Source organism: Homo sapiens, chromosome 2 (assembly GCF_000001405.40).
Source record: "Homo sapiens chromosome 2, GRCh38.p14 Primary Assembly".
In the NCBI taxonomy this organism is placed as follows: domain Eukaryota; kingdom Metazoa; phylum Chordata; class Mammalia; order Primates; family Hominidae; genus Homo; species Homo sapiens.
The window spans coordinates 232,212,812-232,234,999 of NC_000002.12; the positions used below are offsets into that span (position 1 = coordinate 232,212,812).

Sequence of the window (22,188 nt, forward strand, 5' to 3'; positions counted from 1 at the left end):
AGGACAGATGTGAGAAAGGGATAATGACAGAAGAATCTATGGAAATGAATGTTGGGGTTGAGGGAGAGGAGTCCAAGATGGTGCCAAGGTTTCAACCTGGATGACTGGGAGATGGAACCCATAAGTTAGAAATGGGAATCAGGAGTACAAGCTGGTTTGGGAGAGAGTATGTTGGCATGGAGTTGTCTGTCTGATGTTATTTATGTTAGTTGCTGCAAATTCTTTGTAGGGGAGCTGAGGTGTGTATAAACAAGCTAAATAGATGCAGTCCGTGGAACTATATACAAAGAGCCCGGGAGGAGAGGAAGCAATGCACCAAAATGCAGTGATTTCATTCGAATGATGGGATCATAAGTGATTTTTTTTCCTTTCTCTAGTTCCCAAATTTTTATAATGTGGCAATAATAGTTGTATAATGAAAAAATTTTGTAATACAAAAATATTATGAGGTGCCAGAAATCACAGGCCGCTCAGTAGCCTACTGCACCAGGTGATCAGATACCTTCCATCCACTTAGTTTTTCTTGCATTCCTGAGGAGCAGTTTGGCAGAGCAGCAGGAAAAGGACATGGAAAAGGAGTCAGGGAAGACTCTGAAACGGCCTGAGTTGGTCAGGCAAACAGTTTTATGGTGGCACTTCTACAGTTGGCCTTTGTGACAACAGTTTCTGCCAGGGCCATTTATCCAAGGAGTTGAAAAGGGAAAGTCAATTCCAGTTTGGATTGGGGTGAGGTTGGCTAAGTTCAGGTTGAGGTAGTTACCAGTTCATGTCAATTCTTGCTTAGGGGGAAAAATGTTCAATGCTTCAAAAAACAAATAGTGTTTTCTCGGTCTATTTATATCATCTGTAGTTTTTTTTTTTTTTTTTTTTTTTTAAGTGTAAAGTTTAACTTTCCTTTGGTTTCATTAAAATTATCTGAATGACCATTCTGTGAAAAGCAGACAAATATAACATACCTAGTCCTTACTTTCCCTTTTGGTAGAGTTCAGATGTACTCCCAGGACTTGTTACCAGTGTCTGTCAGGTGAGACACTCCAGTGATCAATTCAGCAAATCACAGTGACCACCTGTCTACCAATAGATCATAATTAGGTTGCAGGCGGAGGAGAGGGTGCCACCTATCTTCATGAAATCTCAGCTTGGAAGGGATTCTACTGGTTTCCAACCTGGTAATTCTCCACTTTTCTTATCCTAAAAACACACTTCAGGAGAACACTCCCATGAGCATTACCCAGCAATGTAGAGTTTTTCACCTTTGTTCAAGAAAATATTTAGTAATGTAAGTGAATAGGAGTGGCGTTATAGTGATAACCCAGAATCTGGAGACAGTAAATCGTGTGCCTCAGTGTTTTATTATTGTACAGATCACTTGCAGCATACCTCACAGCTGACCTCAACGCTGAAGTGTGGGAATGCCACAGTTGTCAGATCACTCTCTGGTTTTCGAATTACCTCCACTGCATCCACTTATGGAATGTCCAGACTGCATTTGAACTTTCTACCTTAGAGGCAATTCATTCTGCCTTAAGATTGCTTGACTATTAGGAAATCCTTCCCTGTAATGATCTGAAACAGTGCTCTCTTCCTGTAATTTTCCACTCATTAGTCCCATTTATGCCTCTCGGGCCCCTATAGAACAAATCTAGTGTCTCATTTGACAACCTATCAGTTACTAGATAACAGTTATCATGTGTCTTCTGAGTCAAAAATTCTCAACTTAGCATCCTAAATATTCTTTGGTGTCCAGTGGGTTATGAGGTGTGAGCCCATCTCCCATGTCATGGAGTCACTTCTGCTTTTATGAAGTCTGAAGTACATGGCTACCTGTATCCAGACTGCGCCTCCCTGGCTATCAGGGCCTACTCTCTCCTTGCCAGTTCCTCCTTATTGGGCAGGACTGGGTTCAGAGTAACAGCTACCCATTCTGTTCAATTAGTCAAGCATTGTGGCTTTGCCTTAGTCTCTGAGGGAAAATTGTCAGCCTGACAAGCTAGGACCTTTATTCGCTTTTCGTTGATTCAGGCTCCCAGCAGATCCTGCAGGAAATTGAACTTCACTTCTCCAGCATCTTGTTTCTCTAAAGTTGTATTCTCTAACATGTACTCTGCTGTTGAACTTACAGGGTTACCCTAGCCCGGCCTTAGAAATGAATGAATGGGAATGGGGAATGATGGTTAATGGGTTTCAGTTTCTTTTTGGGTGACGAAAATGTTCTGGAATTAGATAATTGATAGTTGCACAACTTTGTGGACATACCAAAAACCACTAGGGGAAAAGGAGTGAATGAATAAATGAATGAGAAGAAATAAACATATCCACTTATCCTTGAGGCTTTCTGGAAATTGGAGTTTACACCTTAACCACAGTTTAGCAGAGGTCTTTATGGAATGCCCAGCTGGCTATCATAGTCACATCCCTCGTGTCCATCTCTCCTCCTTGCTGCTTTCCTCTCTGAACCATGAAACTACAGCCCCGGGTGCACAGCCCTCTGCTCTGCTGCCCGCTCACATTTCCCATCCCCACAGAGTGCAGCCCTCTGACTCAAAAAAAGAAGGGTCTGTCCCACTATCTGCATAGAAAATATTTGGTTAAGTTAGAACAGCATCCAGCCTAAGGGGCCTCTGGGGTGGACATTACCTACTGTGCTCAAGGAAGCACCAGTCTTCCTGCCTGGATTGTCTCTGCAGCCTGCCTGGTTGCATGACATTTTTTGGGGAGGATGGAGCAGACAGCTTTGTTCCTGGGAGCCCATAGCAATAAGGGAATAGAGTGAGAGTCTAGGAGCAGTGCCTGTAAGGATTTCAGAGAATTCCTAATAAACTCTCTGGCTCCCCAAATGGCTGTGTTTGTCACCTGCTGAGAATTTCCTATATTGACTGATCACCTTTGGAGGCAGTGAGGAAGTAGGAGCCAGAAATTCTTGTGTCCCCCTGTGTGCCAGGCTTTGGCTAGAAAACCTGAGGGATAGGATGGGGTGGTAGTTGTTTTAAAGAGCAAAGGGCTGAGATGAAGTCACTGGACCTGCTACTGGGAAGAAACGGGACATGTGAGAGCCCTGGGGCTTCTGAGTGAAAAGGTTCGTGCATGTCTCTAGCAGCCAGGCCAGACCCTCTTCCTGGGCTCTTTTCTCACCTCTGGGAAGACTCTTCCCCAGCAATCATTCACCCCAGCCCCTTTACATTTCCCTTTGCCCTGCTTCCTCCTCTTGCTGTACCACCTGAAGTCTCCCTCATCCTATAAAACCTTCCTGTACTCTGCTCCAGCTCTAGAACTTTCACTTGTGTCTGTCAGGACACCTTGGAAGAGTTGTCTTTACTTGCTGTTGCTTTCTCACTTCCCGTTGCTTTCTCACTTCCCGTGTATTCCTTATCCCTTTTACAGTGTGGCTTCAGAATGCTGGCTGCAACAGGTTGCCCCAGCCTCAGTTCACTAAGCATCTCTACAGCACTTGGCTCTTTAGTCTGCTATTCCTCCTTGAAATTCACTCACTCTTCCTTGGACTCAAAGGACCCTGCCTGCTCTTGGCTCTAAATGTGGGCTTTTCTTCTCCAGTCGCCTTTTTAACTCATCTTTCACTGCCCAGCCCTTCAGGCATCAGTGCCCCTCTCATGCTCTACAACCTTTGCACTTGGTGTCCCCTGTGCCTGGTTTCCCCTTTCCCTGCAAAGCCACATGGCTGACCTCTCCCTTTCAGGTTTGATTGGTCACCTTCTCCGTGAAGCCTCCCTAGCCATTCTGCCTCTGATTCCACCCCTCTCACCTAGCCACCTTTCCATTTTTTTTTTCTCACCACTCATCACTTGCTAACTAACATAGGTCAAAGGTGGCTTTTTTCTTTGCTTTTAAGATGCAAGATATTTGATATGTTTATGTTGAGAACTAGGAGATGACAGAGAAGGAAAAGTTGAAAACACAGGCATGAGAAGAGTTGATCGTTTTGCAGGGTCTTGAAGAAGAAGGTGGGAGATGAATCAGAGCATAAGTGGAAGGTAAGGCCAAGGAAGAACACCTCCTCTCCTCTCCCCTCCCCTCCCCTCCCCTCCCCTCTTTTGATGGAGTCTTGCTCTGTCGCCCAGGCTGGAGGGCAGTGGTGCAATCTCTGCACACTGCAACCTCCCCCTCCTGGGTTCAAGTGATTCTCCTTCCTCAGCCTCCCGAGTAGCCAGGACTACAGGCGCCTGCCACCACACCCGGCTAATTTTTGTATTTTTAGTAGAGATGGGGTTTCACCATATTGGCCAGGCTGGTCTTGAACTCCTGACTTTGTGATCCGCCTGCCTTGGCCTCCCAAAGTGCTGGGATTAAAGGTGTGAGCCACCGCGCCTGGCCACAACACCTCTTTCTATGAGACAGAGAGGCAAGACATAGTTGATGGGTCCCTGCTGATGAGGGATCACACCTGGCCATACCTGCTTCCACTGTGAAGTAGAAAGCCGAATGCTGCTGAGAGGGCTGACGGAGTGGTGAAGGAGATAGTCTGAGTGGGAAAAAACAACACAGACTGCCTTTCCCCTGCTGCCACCCTGCAACAATCAACACAGAAGACTGCTATGACCAAATACTTGGGTGCTTTTTTGCCATACACCAAGCAAGCAATTAGTTCTGCAGCATATGCCAGCAGGTTGTCCTCCAATTCAGTTCTGATATTCTCCGCCTGGAGATAGCATCAGATTCCAAAGATTGAGCACCTGGTCCCACAAGACTGCCTCACGCTTCTGATGCCAATTGCAGGCTCCAGGGTGGTTTACTGGTGATTCTGACTGACCAGCTATAAGTTTGGGATCCTGCAACCCCCTCCTTGAGTTTCATAAATTTGCTAGAGTGGCTCACGGAAAACTCAGGGAAACGCTTAAGTTTAGTGGTTTATTATAAAAGATATTGCAAAGGATCCAGATAAACAGTTGCCTAGGGCGAGGTATGGGGGAAGGGATGTGGAGCTTCCATGCCTTCCCCAGGCATGCCACCCTCCAGGAACCTGCATGTGTTCAGCTCTCCAGAACCTCTCTGAACCCTGTCCTATTGGGCCTTTTATGGAGGCTTCATTCGATAGGCATGATTGAAGCATGGACACCCATGTAGAAATGTGATTGGGCAAAAAGCGTTTGATCTCAGTGACAGACTGAATGGAGAAACCCAGCAAGGCCTGTGCAGATGCTTCTTGGCCTCTCTGTGCAGCATTCCCTCTTCCAGGATATAGGGCAGGACCCCTTTTAAAATGGAAGTCTTCCAACCCACAATCAGGCAAGGTAGGTCAGAGAACATTTTAATGGGAAGAGGGGAAGATTAGAGTCCTGCCTTGGGGAGAAAAAGAAGCGGGTGAAAGGAGGGCAGGAGAAAGTCAGAGAGATTCAGTGGCCTAAAGCTCTCCAACATTTTAACAAAAGACTGTAATAAGGGCTGTAGGAGTCATAAGCGAGGAACCGCGGATGAACACGCATGCTCACACACACATATATGTCCATGTCATGTGCACATCACAGATAGTATAGAGAACTGACCAGGAATCCATCAGACAAAGCATTGGCAAACACTGCTCAGGTATGTCTGGGTTTGAATCCTACAAAGTCTGGAGGATAATAAGATTTTTCTTCAGTAATTCTCAGCCTCCGAGGTGTGGGAACAGAGGTTGCAGTGATCCATTCTTGGAGGTTTCAGGCCGGGTGTGGTGGCTCACACCTGTAATCTTAGCACTTTGGGAGGCCGAGGTGGGAGGATCATTTGAGGCCAGGAGTTCAAGACCAAACTTGGGAGTTTCCTGGGAGGGAGAGCTGGAGGGGCAGCAGGACAAGGGTCCCTCTGAGCCTGTTTCTTCTCCGCCTCTTGCTTTTATGATGGCATCAGCTGGCGTCTAATCAACCAAGGTTTTACAAAGTAATCTTGGAATCACATTTGATTCCTTTTCCTCTCCAGACTGTTGTCATGGTCTTTTCAGTAATTTCCCTCCCTCCTCACTGTCTCCCGTCCACCTTGCTGTCTAGTTATCTTTCCTACGTGGCACGCACAAGGACCAGATCATGTAGCTTTTCTGTTTGAAAACCTGCTTGTACCTATGGGTTAGGTCTGCAGTTCTTTAGCAGACCTTTGTTACCAAAGCCCTGTAAGATGAGTCCTCAGCCTCCTCTCCTGCCACCCCACTTCCCAGCGCTGCTTCCCTTAACACACGCACAGTGGGGGCTGGTCACTGCAGGCTCTGCTGATCTCCTGTGCCCTTTCCTGCCTCCAGGCCTCTGCCTGCTCCTTTCCCTCTGCTTACAAGGTCTTGCCTCCCTGCCTCCTTCTGTCAGATGAAATCGCCTTCTAAGAACAACATAAACCTCCGCAGAACTTTCCTTTCCTCCTAGCAGAATGCATTGTTTCTGTTTCTCCTACCAGCAAGTATTCTTCATGTCTTGGATATAGCAATAACCATCATTACTTCTGGATTTAATTCCCTTTTTTGCTTATTTCCTAAGAGCAGGGTGTTCCTTGGATATCTCTACTTCCTGAGTACCTTGGATATCTCTACTTCCTGGTTGCTACCCTGCATTTTAAAATTGTTTGGTCTAGTCAGATCTAGCCAGGCAACCTATTGCATACCTTCAGTGTTTCACTCCTTTTTCTGGTTCTTGCCTTGCCCCTTTATTTCCATGTACTTCTGTCCTTGTTTTGTGGGTTGCCTGTGGGTTTATATCCTGACATATAAGTCTCATCCACTTTCTCTCCTAAAATAAGTCTGTTTCTTTGGAATTGGGCATACCTTTCCCTTATTCCATTCAAGTGTTTCACTCCATCTGTCATGTCTCAGTGGTACCTATAAGATCACTGGGTTTATCTTATGTTCATGCTGCTGTTACTTCAGCTCTGTGAATTGGCCCACGTGAGGCTCACTTCCTTCCTCTTATTTCCTTGCCAGGTGTCTTGCGTGGTCTGCACTGCTCTTCCCTTTTCATCCCTACAGGCTTCCACAGCAACTCATGTCTTCATTTTATCTTGTCATTTCCTCCACCTCCCTCCTGCCTGTATCCTTGCTATTTTCAAATTCAATAAGTGCTGATTTTCTGATAAAATTAACTTCCTGAATGAACCCTAACATGGTAGTAAAACAAAATTTGTGATCTAAAAGCCAAATGTTTTTTCCCTTTAGTTATATTGGCAAATAGTCTTACTAGTTAAGAAATGCCTTTAAACACCAAGTACAGTGCTAGCTGCAGTGGCTTACACCTATAATCCTAGCATTTTGGGAGACCAAGATAGGAGGCTCACTTAACGCCAAGAGTTCAAAACCAGCCTGAGCAACGTAGCAAAACCCAGTCTCTACAGAAAAATAAATAAATAAATAAATAAATAAATAAATAAATAAATAAATAAATAAGCTGGGCATAGTGATGTGCGTCTGTAGTCCTAGCCACGTGGGAGGCTGAGGTGGGAAGACCACTTGAGCCTGGGGGTTCAAGCCTGCAGTGAGCCAAGATGGCGCCACTGCACTCCAGGCTGGGCAATACAGTGAGGCTGTCTCTAACAACACCAAGTATCTCTTGGTGTTGTTAAATAATAAATAAATAAATAAACAAACAAACACCAAGTATCTCTTCAGTGGCAGTGCTCACCTATAAGTTGGGAGAAATAGAAATTTGAGGGCGGGGTGCGATGGATCATGCCTGTAATCCCAACACTTTAGGGAGGCCGAGGCGGGCAGATCACCAGGGCAAGATTCGAGACCAGCCTGACCAACATAGTGAAACCCCATGTCTACTAAAAATATAAAAATTAGCTGGGTGTGGTGGCACGCGCCTGTAATCCCAGCTACTTGGAAGGCTGAGGCAAGAGAATCGCTTGAACCCGGGAGGCATAGGTTGCAGTGAGCCAAGATCGCACCACTGCACTCCAGCATGGGTGACAAAGCGAGACTCCATCTAAAACAAAAGAAAAGAAATAGAAATTTGATAGTATAAAAATCTAAGTATTCCTTTGGTAGCAGATAGATCTTAATGCCATGTTGGTGAGACATTGGAAATTAGAGTTTATTTTTAGGCTGGGCATGGTGGCTCATTCCTGTAATCCCAGCACTTTGGGAGGCTGAGGCGGGTGGATCACCTGATGTCAGGAGTTGGAGACCAGCCTGGCCAACATGGAGAAACCCCGTCTCTACTAAAAAATACAAAATTAGCCGGTGTGCTGGCACATACCTGTAGTCCCAGCTACTCGGGAGGCTGAGGCAGGAGAATTGCTTGAATCCAGGAGGCGGAGGCTACAGTGAGCCAAGATCGTGCCACTGTGCTCCAGCCTGGGTGACAGAACAAGACTTCATCTCAAAAAAAAAAAAAAAAAAAAGTTTGTTTTTAATTTTCATCTCTTGGGAATGTAGTTGGGAGGTTAAATTGGTATATGGAGATAATGCCAAGGGACCGGAATTCAGAAATCAGGTGACAGTTTAAAAATGAAAGTCAACTTTATATGTAGATTTTAAGCATCGTTTTTTGTTAAATTAAATGGTGCATGTAGATCTTATTTTTAAGCTACATATGTTTATGTTTCCAGCAGCTAACAGATTAAACTTTCCTAATTAAATGTGAGGTGCTTCCCATGGTACAGTCTTCAATTTTCAGGAAGGGCATCCTTTTGAAATGCAGCATTTCAGGATTCAGCTCACTGAAGAGGATAAAATCTGCGCTTTGTATTTTAGAGGGGAACCCTGATCACTCATCAGTAGATCTTGGAAAAGAAAAATTCCAGCTGGGCACAGTGGCTCACACCTGTAATTCCAGCACTTTGGGAGACCAAGGCGGGTGGATCACCTGAGGTCAGGAGTTAGAGACCAGCCTGGCCAACATAGTGAAACCCTGTCTCTACTAAAAATACAAAAATTAGCTGGGCATGGCGGGCACCTGTAATCCCAGCTACTCAGGAGGCTGAGGTGGGAGAATCAGTTGAACCTGGGAGGTGGAGGTTGCAGTGAGCCGAGATCGCACCAGTGTACTCCAGCCGGGGTGACAAGAGTGAAACTCCGTCTCAAAAAAAGAAAAGAAAAATTCCACTTCAGGGCAATTTTCTGCTTGGATACATTTCTGGGTTTTGTCTCTGACATCTTCATGATGCCCAGTGCTTCGAATGCTGTTACTCCTATGTTCCTCTTCCATGCGAAGTCATTTCATTTCTTTTCTTTTTTTTTTGAGATGGAGTCTTGCTCTGTCACTCAGGCTGGAGTGTGGTGGTGTGATCTCGGCTCACTGCAACCTCTGCTTCCTGGTTTCAAGCAATTCTCCTGCCTCAGCCTCCTGAGTATCTGGGATTACAGGCACACGCCACTGTGCCTGGCTAATTTTTGTATTTTTAGCAGAAACAGGGTTTCACCATGTTGGTCAGGTTGGTCTGGAACTCCTGACCTCAGGTTATCCACCCACCTCGGCTTCCCAAAGTGCTGGGATTACAGGCGTGAGCCACCACGCCCAGCTTTGTGAAGTCATTTCTAATCCCCATTTTGAAATGCTGAATATTTTCCTCTTGCAGTATTTTATGTCTCAGGCAGATCCCAGGCAACTCAAGTACTTGATCTCAGTCAAACCTTATTTTTGTAGTAGGGCCCTTGATAATGAACCTGGGAAGAGAAATGGGAAATTCTGTAGATCTGTCAGCTCATAAGGAAATGCATGTCTTCTTCATTCATCTGGGGCACTGACAAGTGAACAATTTTTTTTTTTAAGACTGAGTCTTGCTCTGTCGCCCAGGCTGGAGTGCGATGGCGCAGTCTTGGCTTACTGCAACCTCCGCCTCCCAGCTTCAAGTGATTCTGCTGCCTCAACCTCCCTAGTAGCTGGGACTACAGGCACCTGCCACCACATCCAGCTAATTTTTGTATTTTTACAACATGGTTTCACCATGTTGGCCAGGTTGGTCTCGAACTTCTGACCTCAGGTGATCCACCCGCCTTGGTCTCCCAAAGTGCTGGGATTACAGGCGTGAGCCACTGCACCCAGCTGGTGAGTGAACAATTTTAACTGTCCTTGTTGTATGATCATTTTTTACTGAATTGTACCTTGACTCAAAAAATCCAAATAACTGAATAGTCATGCGAGGGCTCTGGCATGGAAGTGGGCTTCTGGGATGCTTGCCAATGAGTTCCTTTTTGAGGACACAGAATCTAAGTGGAAAGATTAAGTGGAGAGGCAGCTCCACCCTCTAAGTCTTATTCCTATGTTCCATTCAAATCTTGCTAGCTTGATTTCTGTGGGGTCTGGGCTTTGGAAATTCTCTTTTTCATGGATGTCTCAGTGCACCTTGTTAAACCGAATTTGGACTGTTGTGTGTTCATCAGCTTCCAGCTCTACTGATTGGTTCCAGTTTCCTTGCTCATGAAAGCCAAGATAATCTGGCACCCACCAGTCAGGCATCCTCAAGTATCTGGCACCAAGGTAAACCTGGAAGCCAGTTAAGAAGTCCCAGTGATCCAACACACTCACTGCTTGATGAGAGACAGTTGTGGTACACCAGAAAGAGCACTGCAATAGGAGCAGGAGAACTGGGTTCTTGTCTCATCTTTGCCTCTACTGCATCATGGAAATTTGGGCATTTCTGTGATTTCTCTGAAATTCTCTTTCCTCAGCTATAAAATGGTGGTTTGAACTAGACAGTTTCTCAAGTGTCTTCCAGTTCCAAATTATTGAGTATATGAAAAACTAAAAGAGCTAAGCTTCATTTATGCCTATTGTTGCGTAAACACAACTTAGCTTTAAAAATATTTACAGTAACTACCTCAAGTTGCATATACTTCTGATCCTTTTCCACAAAAGTAGTTTGTATAACAACAAAATGAGAAGGGACACAGTCCGTATTCCAGAGGAGAGAATTAACCTCTTCTTACCTCAATGTTCCCTGACATCAAGGGGGATAATAATATCTAACTCAGAATTATGGGGAAGACTAAATGAGATAATCCCTGGCACTTAGAATGGTGCTAGACAAAAAGTAAGTGTTTAGTGAAAGTTATTATTAATATAAAATTAGAAAGATTAAAATTTGCATGGGCCACAGTGGCTCACGCCTGTAATCCAACACTTTGGGAGGACAAGATGGGAGGATTGCTTGAGTCCAGGAATTTGAGACCAGCCTTGGCAACATGGTGAAACCCCATCTCTACAAAAATTACAACAATTAGCTGGATGTGGTGGTGCACGTCTATAGTCCTAGTTACTCAAGAAGCTGAGAGGTGGGAGGATCGTTTGAGCCCAGGATGTCAAGGCTGCGGTGAGCCATGATCGCACCACACTGTCCTCCAGCCTGGGCGACAGAGTGAGACCAAAAAAATTGCCATGGAATTGTAGTAAGGGTTATGCTGAAATAATAAATGTTCAGCTGCTGCTCAGAAGTCAAGGTAAGACTAGAATAGAGAATACAGAAACAGACCCACATATATATACAACCACATGGTTTTTAGCAAAGATGTTACTGCTGTGTAGTGAGGAAAAGATGGTTTTATCAATAAATGGTACTAGACTGGTTGGATATCCATATGGGGGAAAAATTGGTTTTGACCCCTACTTTATACCACACATAAAAATGAATTCCATGTGGCTCATAGATCTGAGTATGAAAGTAACACATTAGCACTTCTAAAGATAACATAAGAAAAATAACCTTATGACCTTGGTGTAGGCAAAGATTTTTTAAGTGGAGCACAAAAAGCATAAGCTTTAAAGGAAAAGACTGATAAATTAGATTTTATTAAAATTAAGAACATCCATTCATCAAAAGACATCATTAAGATTGTTGAAAAGGGTGCAGTGGTTCATGTCCATAATCCCACCACTTTGGAAGGTGCAGGCAGGTGGATCCCTTGAGGTTAGGAGTTCGACACCAGCCTGGTCAACATGGTAAAAACCTCTTTCTACTAAAAATACAAAAATTAGCCAGGCATGGTCATACACGCCTGTAATCCCAGCTACTCGGGAGGCTGAGGCATGAGAATCATTTGACCTGGGAGGTGGAGGTTGCAGTGCGTTGAGATTGCACCACTGCATTCCAGCCTGGGCAACTGAGTGAGACTCTGTCTTTAAAAAAAAAAAAAAAAGAAAAAAAATTGTTGAAAAGGCAAGCCACAGAGTGGGAGAAGATATTTGTAATACATATATCCAGCATATGACTCTTACCAATATATTATATAAAGACTTGAAGAGGCACTTCATAAAAGAAGATAACCAATGGTCAAACACATGAAAATATCTTAAGTCCAGGGGGAAAATGGAGATGAAAACCACAATAAGATACTATTATGTTCCCACCACAATAGCTAAAAGTTTTTAAAGCTGACAATGTTAGGGAGGGTGTGGAGCAATTACAACTCTCATATACTGCTAGTAGGAGTCTAAGTTGCCACAACTACTTTGGGAAACCATTGTACAATATGTAATAAAGCTGGGTGGATTCATAACTCATGGCCCAGCAGTTTTAGTCTTAAGTATATACCCCATAGAAAGGTGTATATATGTACAGGAACGTTCATAGCACCATCACTCATAATAGCAAAAAACCAAAAACAATCTAAGTGCCTGATAACAATAAAATTAATAAATTGGGGTATACTCTTACAATGGAATATTATATAGCAACAGAGTGAAGCAAATTCAAAACACAACATGATGAATATCAAAAACGCTGTGTTGAGCAAAATAAGCCAGACAAAAAATAGATATATACCATATGAATCTAGTTATGTAAAATACAAAGAAAGGTGAAACTGATCAGTGATTATATAGAGGTCAGAAAAGTAATTATCTTTGGTGAGTGTAAAGACTGGGAGGAGGCATGAGAAAAGCTTCTGGAATTCTGCATACATTCTATTTCGTGGAACTGGGTGGTGGTTACCTAAGTATATTTACTTTGTAAAACTTCATTGAACTGTATGCTTAATGCTTGTATACTTTATGTATTTCATGCCTTAATAAAAAATTTTATTTTAAAAAAATGAAGGAGTACAAAAAAAATGGAAACAACCCAAATGTGTCTGCAGCCAATGAATGGATAATTTAATATGGTATATCCATATAATAGAATATTATTCATTCATAAAAAGAAACAAAGTACACGATACAACAGGGGTGAACCTTGAAAATAAACTAGGTGAAAGAAGACAACCATAAAAGAGCACTTTGTATGATTCCATTAATATGAGATGTCAGAACAGGTACATCTATAGAGACCAGAAATAGATTAGTAGTTGCCTGCGGCTGGGAAGGTTGGGAGGAAGTAGGGAGTGACTGTAAACAGATATGGGCTTTCTTTCTGGGGTGATGAAAATGTTCTAAAATTTATTGTAGTTGTGGTTGCACAACTTTGTGCCTATACTAAAAACCATTCAGTTGCACACTTTGAGTGAACTGTGTGGTATGTTAATGAAATCTCAATAAAGCTGTCATGAAACAAAAAGTTAAGAGATACTGGTAACTGTAATAATGATTGAAACATTGTTAATCATAGTCAGCCTTAGGAAAAGGCTGCACCACCATATGGTCCTTTGGTATGATAGGTGAGCACATTGTTACTGGAGTCAGACAATGTTCTAATCCTGGCTTTGCCATTTACTGACTGTCTGACATTGGGCAAATCATTTAACCTCTCTGAGTCTGAATGTCTTCATCTGTAAAATGTAAATATTAATAGTACCTACCTCATAGAACTTTTGTGAAGATTATTCATTTAATCAAGAAATAGTTGAGTGTATTTATATGCCAGCCACAATGAATAAAACTATTGTTATCATCCAGGAGCTATGGCATCTGAAGAGTCTTAACTCCATTTTAGTGAGAGAGGCTACAAGTGAACTTGAGCGTGTGTCATGAGGACAGGACATCTTTCCCCTACTATACCACATCCATATCTATTACAAAATACAAAAGTCATGTTCAAGGCCAGGTGGGGTGGCTCACGCCTGTAACCCCAACATTTTGGGAGGCCGAGGTGGGAGGATTGCTTGAGCCTAGGAGTTCGACCCCAGCCTGGGCATAGTGAGACCCCGTCTCTACAAAGAATTAAAAAATTAGCTGAGCATGATGGTGCTTGCCTGTAGTCTCAGCTGCTCAGGAGGCTGAAGTGGAAGGATCACTTGAGCCTGAGGAGGTGGAAGCTGCAGTGGGCCATGATCGTGCCACTGCACTCCAACTTGGGTGACAGAGCAAGACCCTGTCTCAAAAACAAACAAATAAACAAAAACAAAAACAAAAAAAAACCCAGGAAATTGAGTTATAACTAACTGATATATGGACAGCTCAGAAATAGAAAGTGACCAGTAGTTAAAAGACTACTTGACAAGGTTTTCATTTCAACAAATATTTATTGTTTCTGTAAAGGAATTACTTTCAGTCATGTTGAAAATCATACTATGTCTACTTACTTGTTCTACTTGTCAAAATGTTTGTTCTGCAGAATGAATGTGTAATCTTTTAAAATTAAATTGAGAGCGCTTGTAGTCTACAGGTGTTGAAAAAGAAGCAAGTATGAGTTTGTCAAGAACCCGATGCTGAGGGGCGAGTCTCCATAATGCAGTGGTTAGGAGCTCCAGTTTTGGAGTCAGACCTTGACACAAGGTGTCTGACCTCCCTGGGTCTCAGTGTCTTTATCTGTAGAAAGAGATGCGTCTCATAGCATTGGAAGATTAAATGAATTAATATAATGAAGTGCTTTAAAAAGTAAGCAGTCAATATGCCGTTATTATGAGACCACCAGTATGGTGGATTCTCATACCACAGGCATACATAAATTATGTATATAATTTCTTGTTAACTTTTGTGACGTCTTGGGGAGTCAGAAATGGTTTCCCTTTCATGCAAATAAATTAATAAGTGAAACTGAGTGATTGGATCCAAAAGAGCTAATTGGGCATGGTGAGAAAATAATAACCCAAAAGGTATCTCCAGTGTGAGAGAAAAGCCACTAAGGGTTTTTGTCACCGGAATATAAAGCAGTGAGCTTTTGCCTTTCAGAATTCTAGGTAAATATGAAAGTTGTTTCAATTTCTGATGTAAGGAATGCTGGGATTGGATTAAGCAGTTAACAGTTAACGTTTAGTTTATAGGCATTTTAATACACATAGTTGTTTTATATTTCTTTAAAACATTGAAAATTATATATCTCTTGTATATTTGGCTGGTAGAGACTAGTAATTATGTCTTGTTAATAGAGGGACTATTTTTGTTTGTTTGTTTGAGATGGAGTTTTGCTCTTGTTGCCCAGGTTGGAGTGCGATGGTGCTATCTTGGCTTACGGCAACCTCCGCCTCCCGGTTCAAGCGATTCTCCTGCCTCAGCCTCCTGAGTAGCTGGGATTACAGGCATGCACCACCAGGCCCGGCTAATTTTGTGTTTTTAGTAGAGATGGGGTTTCTCTATGTTGGTCAGGCTAGTCTCCAACTCCTGACCTCAGGTGATCCACCCGCCTCAGCTTCCCAAACTGCTGGGATTATAGGCGTGAGCCACCACACCCGGCTGGGACTTTTAAAAAATAGAAAAGTCCACAAATGAATGAAAATATGCTACAATTCTGTTTTTAGACCTAGACCTGGGGGAAACCATTCTGCTGGGATTCCACACACGCATTCCCTGCACAGCCTCAGACATAAGAAAGACTAGGTCCCCATGCTGGCCGTATGTGCCGAAGCCCATAAAAGAGATGACGACACATGCCATGACCTGCTGCCTACTGTAGTTACATTTCTGGCATGAAAATAGTTGTTTCCTGTTCAGAAGGAGTATGCCCAGTTCTCTGCTACTTCATTTACTAAGTTCACCTTTATAGAGCTTGCCTGCAAAGTGCTTTAGTCACCATAATCCACCAGGAGAATTGACCAATAAGCTGGCATCAATTTACTGCCTCCTGCTCAGGCTGGCCAGTAGTGCTGTTTCTTGGTGTGTGCTGGGAAGTCAAGAGGTACACAGGTGGCTGGGGTGGACATAGCATTTTGTTGGTGTGTTTTATTCTAAAAATCCAAGACTCTTTACCAAGTAACACACTTATTATTCAAGAATTAAAGTTTACATCTAAGCAAAAAGAAAAATTCAAAATCCTATCACTCAAAACCATTGTTACCTTCTTCATATATTTTTCTCCAGATATTTTAAAGCAGGGTTTGCATTTTTTATTTTATACTTTTTATCCTTATTGCTTTTCCTGCCTTTGAAAACTGAAAACATTACAAAAGTGTGTAACGGATGAAGGAACAATCCCTGTATCTGCTGCCTCTAAAGATCATCACTGAGGACATTTTTATTCTGCTCTTTCTTAGCAGTAACCTTCAACTTCTGCCTCTATTGGCTCGTTGTTGTTTTAAAACTTTGAGCTAGTTTTACTTAACTGGATTTGTCCTTTTCAAACTTTTTTCTTTTCTTGGCTTCAGTCCTGCCTCTTCTCTTTTTTTTTGGATGAAGAATTTTGAACATGCACAAAAGTAGAAGGAAGAGTATAATGAAACCCATTGTTCCCATCACCTAGCCCCTGTATCCCTCATTCCACAGCCAGTCCTGCTCCATTCCCAACCCACCTGTACCCCAGCCCTTATTACTTTGACCTGCTCACTTTGTAATGACCTTCTAGGGTCCTTCGCAGTCCCTAGGGCTTCACTGTCTTTTGGCTTTGAGTAAGGACCAAGTGCCTGCCCTGCTGCTCTCAGAGCTTCTCTGGAGCCTGTGCTCTGTCCCAGGCTTGACCGGCTGACCTGGGCTTTCCCCACTCACTGCTGAAAAGCCTGGAAATTCCCAGACGTTGAGTGCGCCAGCCTCGCAAGTTCAGCTCCTCATTCTCTTTCCTGTTAATGAAGAAGGCCATTGCTCAAGTCATTTGGAAGAGAAAAAGTGGAATTTACTACCTGGGTGTTCCTCATACATGCTGTTCATATAAATTTAAACTTAGATGCCTGAGAATTACATTGAACATGACAAAAATTGCTGTGTGGGCAGTTTAGTTGAGTACTTGCAGATTGATAGAGCCCTTAGTAATAATGAAGGGAAAAGGTTCTTGAAGCTGCTCTGTTCCAGAAGATGAGCTCACCAGTTAAGGAGTTTGCAACTAAAGGTCCTCATTAACCTCTTGCTGGATGGCAAAGAGGAAAAAAGAAGAAGAAAATCCAGACTCTTCAAATCCTGACCTTTGGGGAGACCTAAGAAGTCATCCTATGCTACCCCCTCCTCATGGTGGGTTCCTGCATTTCATTCAGATTTACTTACCCCAGATTTTTTTTTCACTTCAGCTTCTCTTAAGTTTGTAAAATATCCTCAAACCATCACCACGTCATGGCCATGGAGTGCTGCCATGGCTTGCTATACTGGTGGTCAGCTTTTGTGTAAGATTACATAACGAATACCACATGGAACTGGAAGATGCCAGCGTTTGAGTTGTCCCTCTTACCTAGCAACCCAATCAGTGTTTCTCAGAGGGAATGTGCTTATCCCAAGTAAAAGGTGGAGTTTATTGTGTGGCCACAAGGTGATCCAAGCCCAATTGAGTCTGTCTCCAAAATTCAGTAGGATCATGCTAAGGCCAGGGCCCGCATCCTGGCTGCATGAGCTGCCCTAAGTAAGGCCCCTCATCGCTGGTGCCGTTTGAACAGCGGAACATCCCTTTCGCTCAGCCCCCTTGGTTGGATTACCCTTTCTGAGCTTCCAGAATACTGTTTTCTATCTCTGTTGAGGCTCCTATGTTGGGAAAACTGGCCACAGGGTCAAGAGGGGTGACCCAAGCCAGAGCATTGTGTTCCCATCATAGACTGGGTGGAAACCAACCTGAGGGACAGGAAGTCCAACATCTGTTCTATCTGTCAAGGTGTCCAGCAGGTTGTACTTCTGATTGTGGTCTTGAGGCTCTTTGTTTTTGTTCAGTATGACTGCAGATGGCATTAATAGAGCCATGGTCTGCAGAGTGGGTGAGGTGGCAAAGTGAGAAAGTGAGTATGGTACATTCAAGTTACCTTTCCACTTAGCGCTCCCTGGTGGCTTCCCATTGCACTTGAAGTAAAGAATGCCTCATCCTGACCCAGCAGGGCAGCTCTTCTCAGGGCCCATCCACCTCACTAGCCTCCCTGCTTCCACTTCTTCCCTGCTTTCCAGCCACAGCTGTGTCCCTAGACACAGCAAGCTTGCGCCCACCCCCCATCCTTCGCTCTGGCTCTCCTGCCTGGGATGCTCTCCCCCATGTCATCACGTGACATGGTCTTTTTTAGACCCACAGGTCTCAGTCTGTTTCCTCATAGACACCTTTTCATTACTAATGAACTCTAAAATAGGCTCCAGACATTCGCTGTTTTATTTTCTCCAAAGTCCTTTTTACTATCTAAGTAATCTTGTCATTTGTTTGTTTGCTCATTGCCTTTCTCTCCCCACTAGACTGGAAGCTTGACATGAGAAGGGACCTTGTCAGTTTTCTTGTATGTCTACAGTGCCTAGAAAAGGACTGGTACATAGTAGGAGCTTAGTAAGTATTTGTTGTGTGGCTGATTGAATGAATGAAGATGGTTATTAGGAAGATTATGAGGTAATTGAAAGCTAAACCATGTGGTTGTTTAGCCTGAAGCAGAAAAGTCCCAGGGGCCATATGCTGGCTGTCTCAGTAATTAAAGCTGGTGCTACCCTAAAAGCACCTAGCCCTGCTTCACTCCTTTCTCTTGGCCAGATTGCTGTCCTCCAAGGAGATGGGCTTGTTCTGGGCACCCTTATGAGCCAGAACTGGAGCCAATAAGTGAAAACTCTAGGGAGACATATTTTGGCTTTAAAAGAGAGAAAAAAATAATAATAATTGCCACTTTACCTGAGGACGTAGTGGGCTTCACCAGACAGCAGTGAATTTTAAGTCACCTGAGGTATGCATATGCAGGCACAGGCTGGGTGCTCTCTTGCAGACCTGGTATGGAGAGGGCTCAGCACCTGCATGGGCAGTTAGGCAGGGTTTACAATCCTTTCAGCCCAGAGCAGCAGGGCGCCTGCCCTGTATTTTTTGTTACTTTCTTTTTCATTCAGTAAATGTCAATCACTGCGGGCCCAGCCCTTTCCCTGCCCATCATGCTGATTACAGAGAGTCAGGAGGTAGTTCATGATCCGCATGTAGTAAATGGGGGTGAAAGAGTTGAGAAGCTGTAGGAAGACACAGAAGGGGATTGAGCCTGGTCTAGGTCATCAGGGCAGGCCTGCCGGAGGAAGTGACTTTAGGTGGTAGTTTGAAGGACCAGTGGGGGTTGCCAGGAAGAGGAATAGAGAGAACCGCGGGGAGACCCCTGGGTGTGAGCATGGGAGCCCCATCACAGTGTCTTGGGGGTGTAACTGTCATTTAAGGGATAAGGGCCAGGAAAGTCAAAACATGCACAGAGCAGACCCACATGATGAGCAGTTGGGTTGGTATCAGCTTCTTGTGAAGTGGTGATAGAGGATGGTGTGCAGGGGAGGAGTGGAAGAAACAAGACCATGGGATGGGAGGGGTGGGCAAAAGCCAGGCCAGGCAGGCCACAGAAGCCAGGTCTGGGCTGCGTGCTCAGGGCAGCAGGGCCTCTGGAGGGTGTAGATGGTGAGGCGACAGGCAGATTTGTGTTTGGAAAGGGCACTGTCTTCACTATGGAAAATCAGTTTGAGAAATGGCAGGGAGAGCAATAGGAGGTTGTTAGATATTTCTTAGAAGAAGCCATGGTGGTCTTGGCCAAGGTGACAGTGGTGGGAAGGAAGACATATGGGCAGATGTGAGAGACGTATGGAAGGTAGAGTCAGAATGATTGATCGACACAGGCCTGAGAAAGTCCCAGGTTTCTTTTTGGTTTAGGCAAGCATGGGTATCACTTTTGGTTTAGTGGAGGTGATCCCACTTCCTGGGACAGGAAACACAGGGAGAGAAATGGTTTTGCTGCCAGTAGGGGCTTATGGAGGTATGAGTGTGATGTGACCGTGGGACAGCTGAGTGACAATTCTCAGTAGACTTTGTATACATCAATCTGAAGCTCAGAGAAGTCTAGGCTGGTGATATACAATTAGAAGACCAAAGCACAGAAATGAGGTTTGAATCCCTGGAAGTAGATGAGACAATCCAGAGAGAAGGGGTAGAATTAGAAGAGAAGGCAGCCTGGGGCAGAGCACGGAGGCTTGGCACGCCACACTTAAGGGACACGGAGAGGCAGAGAAACTTGAAGAGGAGCAGACATGGAGCTTAGACACCCAGAGTGGGGCCCAGAGCTAAGGAGGAGTGTCTCAAGGTGTTGGGGTGGGGAGGGCACAGAATCACCAGGCTTCAGATGCTGCTATAAGGTCAGGCCTACAAAGGTTTGGATTCAGTGCACAGAGGTTATTAGTGACCTGGACAAAGCAGTTATTTTTTGCTGATGAAGTATATTAAAAGGCTTTCCAGGCATCACATGTGCCTTAGTCCATTCAGGCTGCTATAACAGAATACTGTAGACTAGGTGGCATAAAGAACTAAAACAACGGATTTATTCCTCACAGTCCTTGAGGCTGGGAAGTCCAAGATCAAGATGCTGGCAGATCCAGTGTCTAGTGACGGCCCACTTCCTGGTTCATGGAACAGCACCTTCTCATTGCGTCCTTACATAGTAGAAAGAATGAGAGAGCTGTCTGGGGTCCCTTTTATAAGGCACTAATCCTATTTGTGAGGGATCTACCTCTGAGGCCTGATAACCTCCCAGAGGTCTGCCTCCTGATGCCATCACATTGGGGATTGAATTTCAACCTGTGAATTGGCAGGGAGTGGGGAGACTGGGGGGAGCAAATATCTATCACAACACATAATATTGTTTTATGTGAGGAGTGTCCTGCTGATGTCAAGAAGAGCCTCTGTCACCACTGTGACCACTGTCCAGTCTCAGCAATGGGTAAAAGTGAATGAAGTGACCCAAGTCTGGAAGGCCTTATCTCACTGCTGGTAAGGGAAGGCCCCACCTATAGTAGGTGGCCACCCTGGTTGTGCTCATTCCTGGCACAGGCCTCTTGAGTCGTTCAGACAGTCTCTGTACTACCAGCTAAAAATGACTGTAAGCTAGAAATTTAGGAGTGGTTTAGATTTTAAAGAGCTTGTTCATCTAATTAAATAGAACTGGAGTTAATGGCTTAGTGGTTGTTCTATAATCAGGCCCTGCTACAAGTGGTTAAGGAGACTGACAACGGGAACCAAAAGAGCCTGCAGGGACAGGAGTGAACATGGCTGGAAAGAGTCTCTGCCAGGACTTCTGAATCCAGAGCTGAGAATGTGGCTTCCTTGGAGTTATGAGAGATAGGGAGGGATTTTGAGCTGTGGCCCACTGAGATGAAAAATTGGGTTGTATCATCTTGTTCTGGAGTTGCAGTGACAGTTTATGGCGAGGGGTAATAAAAGGAGCAAAGGATCTGAACCCAACCTGGTTTTGAATCTGGGATTTCTCACTTTTTAGCCAAGTAACTGGAAAAGTGACTGAAAAACTCTCTGCATCTCAGATAATTCATCTGTGCAAAACGATATGCATAGCTGTAGTCAAAGTTAGCTTGTGTGTGAAGCCCCTAGCACAGAGGAGACATTTAATAAATGTTCACTCCTGCTATCTGTATTATTATTGTTATTATTTTTCTTCTTCTTGAGACGGAGTCTCACTCTTGCTCAGGGTGGAGTGCAGTGGTGTGATCTTGGCTCACTGCAACCTCCACCTCCCGGGTTCGAGTGATTCTCCTGCCTCAGCCTCCCAAGTAGCTGGGACTACAGGCATGCGCCACCACACTTGGCTAATTTTTGTATTTTTTAGTAGAGATGGGGTTTCACCCATGTTGGCCAGGCTGGTCTTGAACTCCTGACTTCAGGTGATCCGCCAACCTCAGCCTCCCAAAGTGCTGGGATTACAGGTCTTTATTATTTTTATGATCATCATAGTCTATGTTACATTTATGTAGTTGTTATGGATCACAAAACACTTTCAGATGTCCTCACTGATTGCAGTTCAGCTTACTGCCATATACTTGAGTTATCACACGGGTGTATGTATGAGCCCCATTAGACCGAGAGCTCCTTAAATGGATGGGTCCCCACTCACAGATGTCTAGTGCGGGCATAAACTAGAGGATCCATGTGAGGAAGCACTTCCCCTACCAGAGCTCTTCAGAAAGAGAGCAGGTGGCTTCAAGAAGATGTCAGCTTCCCACTCTTGAGGATATAGCAGGGGCCACCTGGCAGGGACACTGTGGGGAAGTGGCTGCACTGGTTGGAAGGCTGGCT

The 22,188-nt window shown here is 44.2% G+C and overlaps 1 protein-coding gene across 4 annotated transcripts in view, besides 2 other annotated features; it reads left to right on the forward strand.

Moving 5' to 3' along the window:
* Positions 1 to 22,188, forward strand: part of DIS3L2 (DIS3 like 3'-5' exoribonuclease 2) — a 382,638-nt gene that overhangs the window by 251,099 nt on the left and 109,351 nt on the right. The gene's annotated exons all lie outside the window — the stretch shown is intronic.
* Positions 17,867 to 17,956: a silencer, noted in NCBI's record as "silent region_12455". NCBI's record gives its function as "represses an Ori minimal core promoter by ATAC-STARR-seq in GM12878 lymphoblastoid cells {active_cell/tissue: GM12878}" and the evidence as "EXISTENCE:reporter gene assay evidence [ECO:0000049][PMID:35858748]".
* Positions 18,652 to 19,153: an enhancer, noted in NCBI's record as "H3K4me1 hESC enhancer chr2:233096173-233096674 (GRCh37/hg19 assembly coordinates)". NCBI's record gives its function as "activates a minimal SCP1, AML or CMV promoter by ChIP-STARR-seq in primed H9 embryonic stem cells {active_cell/tissue: H9 hESC(primed)}" and the evidence as "EXISTENCE:reporter gene assay evidence [ECO:0000049][PMID:30033119]".